The sequence below is a fragment of the Homo sapiens genome, chromosome 2, assembly GCF_000001405.40.
Source record: "Homo sapiens chromosome 2, GRCh38.p14 Primary Assembly".
Lineage (NCBI taxonomy): Eukaryota > Metazoa > Chordata > Mammalia > Primates > Hominidae > Homo > Homo sapiens.
The window spans coordinates 160024192-160034219 of record NC_000002.12 but is presented as its reverse complement, the minus strand read 5'-3'; the positions used below and the strand labels follow the sequence as shown (position 1 = coordinate 160034219).

The following is a 10028-nucleotide window of genomic DNA, read 5'->3' as shown; positions in this document are numbered from 1 at the left end:
AAGGGGACCATCTAACTGTTATGAGGGAGGAAAAAAAACCAAACAAAAAAGATTTTATTGTCAAATAAGTTTGAAGTACACTAAATTAACAGTAAGCATGTTTCTTTACTACAGAACTTCTCAGAGCCTTGAATATGCTAATGTTCATTGTGAATTTCCCAGAGAACGCTATGTATGCATTGTGTCCAGATTTTCTTGGGGAGCCTCTTAAAGTTGTCTTACTTTGGGAATCACACTTTGGGAAAGGCCATCCTAGACTTCAGCTGGTTGCCTGTCAGTCATTTTCAGTCATGCTGCAGTATGGCTCACATTCTCTGTATTCTGACATTCTCTGTCTGAGTTTGGTTTCCGGTCATTATTGTGGCTACTTAGTTCACCTTGGAGTTTGATTTTAAATGTTAGCAAAAGCACCCAAACTCAGTCTTAATTTTCTGTTATTTCAAAAAAAACTTCAGACTTCAGCTCCACATTTCATACTTTATTACATTTCCTTTTGAGCACACTATGCAATCTTCGGCCAGTGTCTTACAAGTGGATCTTGCTTCTATTCCTCTTGGCTGAAAGAACTTTCTTAAACTATATGTCAGTGTTCCTGTGCTTGATGTTTATTTGAAAACTTGTGTTTACTATTGACTCATATTCCTACTGTATCCTTTTATTTTAGCATTTTGTATTTAGGGAGAAATGCCTTTGAAATAACATTTGTATCTACTAAAATGAACATTTAAAGTTACAAGTTTTCAATATAAAGTTCTAAATGACAAAAGAACTTAGATCTTATTTTCACAAATACTTCGCTTCTACTTCCTTCTCTTAAAACTGGTTCCTATTATTACTCTGGAAAGGATCATAGCTTCTTCATTGGTGATTTCTTATATTTCTTTAGGTAAATCATGAAAGAGTTTAACCATATCTTAGCAATGGAATAACAATGCAGATTTTATCATAAAGACCTAATCAAGAATAGATAAGGCCCTGAAGTTTTAGAGATTGCAAGATGGAATAATTCCATTCAGACTTACCTTAGAAATATGTTGCTGTATAGATAAAATAAGACCTGGTTGTTTTTAATGGCCATTGTTTCCAGCCTCTGCAGAAGTAGGTTGTGATACTATTTGGGAGAAGGACCTCAATTCACACATTTGCTACCAGTTCAACCTGCTTTCATCTCTCTCTTGGAGTGAGGCACATTCTTCATGCCAGATGCAAGGAGGTACGCTGTTAAGTATTACAGATGAAACTGAAGAAAATTTCATAAGGGGTAAGTAGGTGGATGACGCACATTGATATTGATACAATAAAAGATGGTTGTTAACTGTTTTCACATATACAAAAATATATTCTGACAAAAAGTTCTTAAAAAATATTTTTCTTTCCATAATATGGCCCAAAACTCTCACCCAAAATTTTTCCATGAACCTTGAGTGATTCCATTTGGCATCCAGTGATGTCTTTCTTATTTTCTCCTCCTTGGAGAAGAGAATTTGAGGCCACAGCAAGGGACCCAGGAGAGTTGCAGTTCTAACAAGTGGATCAGGAAGATTTCTAAATTTAAGGGCTATTTGCTTGCTCTTCTGGAGATCTTAGCCATTCCATTTCCATTAATAAATCATTAAGCATTTTATTAATTAAACAAAATCTTACATATCATTCACCATGTGCAGGTACATCATAGGCCTTCTGGTGGGTCCCAAAAACAAAACCTTAAAATTTAGTGGGAAAAGCAAAAGCACATATATGTTAACTAACAGTATAGACAATAATATGTTAAAAGAATTGTGCCGATAAACTAAGACTTATGTTTCGCTTATTGCCTAAACTCTCCTCTTACTTCTTCTTTATAGATTAAATGTATTTGTATGTGTGTACATTCACCTCTTTAAAAACTTGTGGAAACATTAGAAAATATCACAAAATTAGTCACTTTCATTAACAGTTTTTGATGCCAATGTTTTTCAAATTTTATTGCATATGTAGTCCATGTTTATTTTAGAATAATTTGTAAAATTCAGGTATATAGAAAGAAAAACCAATAAAAAGGTTCCCATAGTTCTGTAATCCAGAGACAACTGTGTTTCTCTGCAAAAACATATAAATGCATGTGTACATACACAGTATATATAAAAAATGGTATTATATAAAAACGTGGCAGCAGCCAGGTGCAGTGGCTCACGCCAGTAATCCCAGCACTTTGGGAGGCCAAGGCAGGTGGATCAGTTGAGGCCAAGAGTTCAAGACCAGCCTGGCCAACATGGCGAAATCCTCTCTCTACTAAAAATACAAAAATTTGCCGGACGTGGTGGCATGCACCCGTAGTCCCAGCTACTAAGGAGACTGAGGCAGGAGAATCACTTGAACCTGGGAGGTGGAGGATGCGGTGAGCCAAGATCATGCCATTGCACTCCAGCCTGGGTGGCAGAACGAGCCTTCATATCAAAATACATAAATACATAAATAAAAAATAAAAATAAATAAAAACATGGCAGCTATTGCACAGTGATACAAGCAAGTGATTTAACCACCTGCTCAGGTTAGGAGCAGGGAGCCACCTGCCTGGGTTTGAATCCTGCCTCTACCACTTAAGTAGCAGGGTTACTCAAGCAAGTGATTTAACCGCTCTGTGCCTCAATTTCCCCTTCTACCAAGTGGAAATAATAACAATGCAAATTCCTGGTGTGGCTTACATATTTTAATACAGGTGAAATCATAGAAAAGTGCCTGGCACACATAACAAACACTCAGTGTGTGTTAACCATTTAACAACAACTACGTACACAGTTTGGTAATCTGGTTATTTTATTTACCTGCATTTAATGAACATTTGCCCGTATCTGTAAATATAGATCTACATCATAATTTTTAATGGTTACATAGTAGTATAAGTTAGTGGTAATATATTAGAGATATTGATAAAACTATTTGTTTTGTTATGTATTTATTAGTTGGTATTATAAACCATCCCTGCACAAACCTTTGTGCATACATCCCCAATTATTTCTCTATAAGTTTGCAGAAGTGGGTTCACTGGATGGAAAAGTAAGCACACTTAAAAGCTTTTGTAAGTTGTTAATATCTTCCAGAAGGATTGTAAGAAATGAATGAGCAATGTGTGCCCACCCTAAAAGTCAGAAATTATTATTGAATTTGATTTGAGTAAGTCATAGTGCAGGAAAACATCAATTTTCAAAATCATTTTAAGCCTGAAATGGTTTTTATATAAAAGTTTACATGCCATTTATGAATTACAATTATCTATCTTAACTGCCAGGATTTCTCATGAGAAGGTCTGGACTTATTCATCAAATTTGAATAACCATTTAAAAAAATAAGACATGTCAGGGACTTTGATTTAACTACCTCAGTTCTATAATTAGTCTTTGGGAATTGTTTGGAAAAACAGAAGTCTGTTCATAAAGACAGAAACCTGTTCCAACCAAGGTATTTTTTAATGATGAAAATAGTCTAATGTTTCTTGCTAATTCTGGTGAACATATACTATGGTACAAGGAATTATCTAAGCTGTCATGAATGCCGAGAAATATCCAAAGGAATTTAAATTCGAGTTTCTTATTACAGTATCGTGGGCCAGCTTAGTCCTAAAGGTAAATAGATGGTTTTTTGTGCCTTCAGACACAGGTTATAAATTGCACAATTATTTTTTATCTGCATTATTAAAACAATTGCACAATGGGTATTCAAAAAAATTCTAAGATAAGAATAATTAACGTTTTAATATTTTAACTAGATTTTAAAATATCACTTGGCACTTGCCTGGATGTGAAACGTGAAAATTTCTCCCTGCCCTGTCAATCCATTTCACTTCTTATCATCATAAGACCTGCTAAACGATTCAATCGAATGGTGCTATTGAAAGGAATAATCAAATAGACATTAGAAAGAGATTCCATATGAATGCCACAGAAACTTGGAAGGGTGAAACCCGTGTATAGTATGCTGTTTCTGTTTATTGATTTCTGGGAGTCTCAAAATTATAAAGCACCTTTTTCTCTTTTCTTAAATGGGTTAGTTTCTTTGAGTTTTTCACAATTGTATTGAAATATCTAGTCACTGAGGATGCTGCAGCCTTGTTATATGACTACAATGACCTTCACAACCTGGGTAATCATACAGTCTATCATCCAAACTGAGATTCTTTTGATAGTAAAAGGGACTGTGATTAATAATTATTCTGGAAATACCAGCATGAACCATGAGTTTTCCAGGAAAATGGGGGCATACGGTCACCCTGTTTATAACCCTTATCCGTCAGGGTCTTAATCTTAGGCAGGACCCCTGCGTCTGACTAAAAATAAATTGGGCTCTGAATCAGGTGAATTGTAAGCGAACAATGCTCTCCTTTATAGATTAAACGAGTAAATGGCAACATTTCAAAGCATCACAAAATTGCCACTTTCATTATGTTTCTGACACTAGGTTTTGGTTTTTTTCCCCCCGAAATTTTGCTGCATAAGTAGTACCTATTTATTCTGGAATAATGTTTAAAATTTAGGTGCACAAAAAGAAAAACTGAGGAAAAATTCCCATAATTCTTTAATTTTGATAACTATGTCTTTCTGCATGTCAATGCATGTTTTTATTCATAGTATCTATAACAAAAATGGTATTGCATTAAACTGCAAGTTGTAGTGGACTGGTTAAGAGGAGGGGCCACAGAGCCAGCCTGCCATTAAACTTCTCCCACCTCAAGCTGTGGAAGCAGCCTCCAGTTTGCACTGCACACAGCCTTAGGTCCCAACCTGCTAGGGATCCCCCGAGACACTCTGGTCCCTCCTGTTGAGCAGACATCTCCTGGTGGCTGTCACACTGTACACCCCTCCCTGATCTACTTCAGCACACCGTTTTACCTTTGAAGATGTGCCTCTGTTCACTTTCTGGGACTGACCCTGCACACCTCTTCCTCCACCCTATTAAACCTTTAAGTTCATGAGCTCACTCAAGTAAGATGGCCTCAAGTATGCAACCATGCACCCTTGTCTAGATTGACAACCCTGAAAGGCAACCTTTCTGGGTACTTGCATGAAGCATTCACAGTTGAAAAACAGCTGTCAGTGAGCCTGCTCTGTTTCTCAAGATGGTGGGAGCCTGCTTTATCACTCAGAAGCACCACGTGCATTCTGTGCACCTTTCCCGTCATTGACTGGAATTAGTTTCTGACTCCATGATCCAGGAATAGGAGAACAAGAAAGATGTGTAACACTGGATTTTTTTTTTGAAGCTCCATAATTTTCATTTCAGAGCACATGAGCAGTAAAACAGTGGAGGTGTGGATGGGCCTCAATCAGCTGGATGAACACGCTGGCTGGCAGTGGTCTGATGGAACGCCGCTCAACTATCTGAATTGGAGCCCAGGTACCCGCAGTGTTTTCTTTGCCTTCGTCACGTGGCATCATCTTGCACCCTTACACAGCAGCATTTCCCATGCACATAGGACATGCTTTTTTGAGAGTAGTGTATAAACATTTTTTAGCCTGACTGAATTCCTTTAAGGCAAGCTTTTCCAAACAAGAAAATAGGGACCAGGAAGATAAGCTTTTTAGCCAAAGTTGCAGGAGGATTTGGGTGTAAGCCAAGATTCCAGTCTGCTGTTTTAAAAATAGCTACAAATTGCAAAATATCTCTCTACTTTAAGATAATAAAAGTGGGTCTTTTGGAATCTTTGGGAAATCATTTAATTGACATGCCTGGACTGTAACTGCAAAATCATAGATAACATCTTATAGGATTTACTATATATGACAAATAGAAACGCTGTCCCCCGATGCTGAAAACCACATTTCAATATATATTAAACTAACTGCTTTTGCTTCTAATATTAAAGACACTCATTGTATTTTCAGAGGTAAATTTTGAGCCATTTGTTGAAGATCACTGTGGAACATTTAGTTCATTTATGCCAAGTGCCTGGAGGAGTCGGGATTGTGAGTCCACCTTGCCATATATATGTAAAAAATATCTAAACCACATTGATCATGAAATAGTTGGTAAGCGTTTTTATTTTAAGTTGTTCTTAGGTGTTGTTGACTTGTCCTCTCAATATATGTAAATTTCTCTATTTTTTGCTAATAATTCATAATGTAAACTTAGCTAAATCTAGTTTATATTTATATGAAAAGATGTGTAACTAGACAATATCTGTTATGTCAAAGGGACTGTGATTTTAACAAATGCATTTAGGTTTATACTAAAAACTGAAATAATCTGAGCATAGCAAACATTTTCTTCTCTTTTAAAAAATTTGCACTGTTAGTCATTCTGTATTAGAGAAATAAGATACATTTCTTTTTCTATTCTAGTTTTGAGTTTATTGTTCCCCTAGAAATTAAACATAATTTAGAAAACAATTTTATATAATTATTTACTTCATTGATTTTCTGCCACACTCTGAATCTCTTATTAGTAACACACCTTCCTCCCTGAAATTACATGCAGAACTTTTAGATGGAGTTAATACTTAAATAATATCTAATCACAGTCTAGTACCAGAAGTCCAATTATTTCTGTTTTTCAGGTCTATAACCTCTTTTTAGTTTCTCTGAGAATTAATGTCTTAGCTCCAAATGTAGAGATAAAAGTATAACCATTTTTTAAAGAATCATTACAAAAATAATTAGAAAAAACTCTAGATTTAAAATAATAAGCTGAATTGTCATTTTTAAATATTGTCTCTTAGAATTGGGTTTTAACTTTCATTTTCCTTTAAATAGCTAAGCCTAGAAGTTTTGTAGAATATGGGGTACAAGCTGGGGAAAGAAGAAGCAACTTGTCATTTTTTTATGTAGAGATTTTTCCATTATTTCAGGAATTTGCTGAAATTGCTACCACCTGTTATTGTCCTTTTCCCTCCCTCTCTTCCTTCTTTCATATTCCTTTCTCCGTTCCTTCTCTTTTCATTTTTTCTTTCTTTCCTTCTTATGCCATCTTGCATTCCCTCCTGCCACCCTTCTTTCCTTCTGTTATATTTATCCTTCTATCTGCTAATTGAGGTCAGAAGACCAGAAATGGGAGTAGTTAAGTTAGCTTGTTTGGATTATTTGCTTTGCTTCAAGTTCAACACATTCTTCTGTGGATTGATTGAAGTCTTGCTTTTGTGGCCCAGGCTGGAGTGCAATGGCACGATCTTGGCTCACTGCAACCTCCGCCTCCTGGGTTCAAGCAATTCTGCCTCAGCCTCTCGAGTAGCTGGGATTACAGGCACCTGCCACCACGCCCGGCTAATTTTTGTATTTTTATAGAGACGGGGTTTCACCATGTTGGCCAGGCTGGTCTCGAACTCCTGACCTGAGGCAGTCCGCCCACCTCAGCCTCCCAAAGTGCTGGGATTACGGCGTGAGCCACCACGCGCAGCCTAAAATTCCAAGTTCAAAAAGGATTTCATGAGTGCTTTTTTAGGCTGAAAACCATTGGGGTCAATGATATACAAAGTTCTAACACTCTTTGGCCATGATTCTAATTGCTGCCAGAGTCCTAGAAACAATTTTAAAAGAATGTTTTGTTTCCCAAATAGCAGTGAAATCATATTTAGTTTAACTAGATTCGTTCTTAATGGAGGCACCTCGTTGTGGTTAATAAAATAAGGTAAAAATGCCATCATCAGATTGGGGACAGTCTCGTGAGAAAGGAAAGCCAAAATAAGCATGTGCATCACCACTGCCCTCCAATGTCCAAAACATCATGGCACTGTGTTCCTGAAAGCCCCACCTGGAGTCCATATCAGCCCAGAGCAACATCGTGGACACTCAAGACTTATTTTCAAAGTGAAACCTATTTGTCATCCCCATTTTAAAGGAAGTCATCAGAGTTTTAGGCTCTTTTCAGCTGGGGATAAATATCTACCTTACCCACATACTATGTATAAAATCCTTGGAATACCATTTAAATTGTATTCCATAATACTTCTTTTAAATATAAAAAGGTTTCAAAAATGAGCAGCTCTGTTAAATTTTATATCTAGCCCCAACACTCTGCTTTCATTGTATGTCCTCTGTCAAGTCTCTTTACTTCTTTGGTTTTGTTGTTGTTGTTTTACTTTTTTACTATTTTTTAAAATAAAATTGACTGTGTATGTTCAAAGTATTCAACATGATGTCATAGGATACATATATAGATAGTAAAATGGTTATCTTAGTGAAACAAATTAACACATCCATCATCTCACTTAGTTACCCATTTCCCCCACTGTGACAAGAGCAACTATAGTCTGCTCATTTATCAAAAATCCTGAATACACTACATTAACTATAGTCCTCATGCTGTACAGTAGACCTTCAGACTTGTTCATCCTACATATCTGCTACTTGTATCCTTTTTCCTACCTCTGCTCATTTTCTCTCGTTGACTCCTATAACATTTTATCCATTCAGCCATTCTGTGTTTTGATTAGATAATTTAATCCATTTGCATTCAGAGTAATTATTCCGATAGGTAAAGACTTACTACTGCCATTTTTTTCATTGTTTTCTGCTTGTTTTATAGATTCTTTGTTTCTTCCTTCCTCTCTTATTGTTTACCTTTGTGATTTGGTGATTTGTGTGTGTGTGTGGTGCTAAATTTCAATTCCTTTCTCTTTATCAGTTGTGTATCTGCTATAGTTTTTTTTTTTTTTTTTTTTTTGCTTTATGGTTACCATGTGGCTTACATAAAACATAGTTATAATGGACTGTTTTATACTGATAACTGCTTAACTTTAGTTGCATACAATCACTCTAGATTTTTACCCTACCCCCAATAGTTAAAATTTTGATGTCGCTATTTACATCTTTTAATATCGTGCATTTCTTAATTTATTGTAGCTATAGTTATGTTTTACCATCTTGGTTATTTATTTATTTACTTATTTATTTATGCTTTAGAGACGGTGTCTTGCACTGTTGCCCAGGCTGGAATATGGTGGCATGATCATAGCTTGACCTCCTGGGTTCAAGTCATCCTCCCACCTCAGCCTCCCAAAGTGCTGGGATTACAGCCATGAGCCACTGTGCCCAATCTATTTTTGACAATTTTGACTTTAATCTTCATAGTAGAGATATAAATGATTTACAGACCACCATTACGGTATTTGAACATTCTGAATTTGACTATATATTTACCTCCAAGGAAGAAGGGGTACTCTGGAGGTTTGGCTCCAGGGAACAGGGCACGGCTGTAACTTGGGAAGCAGAACCAGTATGGCACAGTGGCAACTCAAGCTCTAGGGGATGAAGCACCAGGCAGTGGTGACTCCGGACCCTGGGGTGGTGGGACACAGCAGTATCTCAGGCTCTGTGAGGTCAGGTTCAGTAGCAGCAAGGACCCAGGAATGGTGGCATATACCTGTGGTTTGTTTCCTGGGGGTCAAGGAGCAGCAAAATGATGACTCCTCTCCCTGGGAAGGTGGGGTGCCTCAGCAGTTCAGGCTTTGTGGGACTAGTCCAGTTCCAGGAAGGCAAGGTGCTACAGCTGTTTGTGTTGGAGGGCAGGATGTCCCAGCCTTGCCAATGCTGTTTCCCTTGGATGCAGGGTACCACATCAGCCAAGCCCTACAAGGCACAGCTGCTCTGCTCAGCTCAGCCAAGGCACCCATTCCCCCATGAGATGGGGCTGCTTCAGCTTAGGTGCTGGGGGGTATGACTGCTTTGGGCAGCTAAAGCACTGTTTCCCCTGGATTTGAGAGCCACTTCAGCTCAGGTGCCTGGGGTGTGACTGTTTTGGGCAGCCAGGGTAGGGATTCCCTGGGAGGCAGGGTGCCACTTCAGCACACACACTGGGGAACATGACTACTCTGGGAGGCCAAGGCACCATTTCTTTGGAGGCAGGGTGATAAGCCAGCTCAGGCTCTGAGGGGCACAGCACAGCAACAACCAGGAAGGGTAGATGGAGCAGCTCGTGGCAACTTGGCCACACCAGGTAGAGTGAGAGCCCCACAGCAGCTTGGCATGGGGATGGTGGGCCACGAGGTAGAAGTGGTGCAGTGGTTACAAAGCCTCAAGGATGGAGGGGTGCTGTGGCTACTCACTACTGGAGCAGAACAT

General features: G+C 38.0%; 1 protein-coding gene across 16 annotated transcripts in view; it reads left to right on the top strand.

Annotated features, from left to right (window-relative positions):
• PLA2R1 (phospholipase A2 receptor 1) overlaps positions 1–10028 on the top strand; it is a 138683-nt gene that overhangs the window by 28396 nt on the left and 100259 nt on the right. For all 16 annotated transcript variants that reach the window (XR_922892.4, XR_007071491.1, XR_001738672.3 and 13 more), the window contains exons 4-6: positions 1088–1261; positions 5257–5370; positions 5859–6002. Coding sequence is in view for 11 of the 16 variants with exons in the window: in XM_047443729.1 (XP_047299685.1) it covers positions 1088–1261; positions 5257–5370; positions 5859–6002 (432 nt within the window). In the remaining 5 variants the exon portion in view is untranslated. The remainder of the gene's footprint in view (positions 1–1087; positions 1262–5256; positions 5371–5858; positions 6003–10028) is intronic.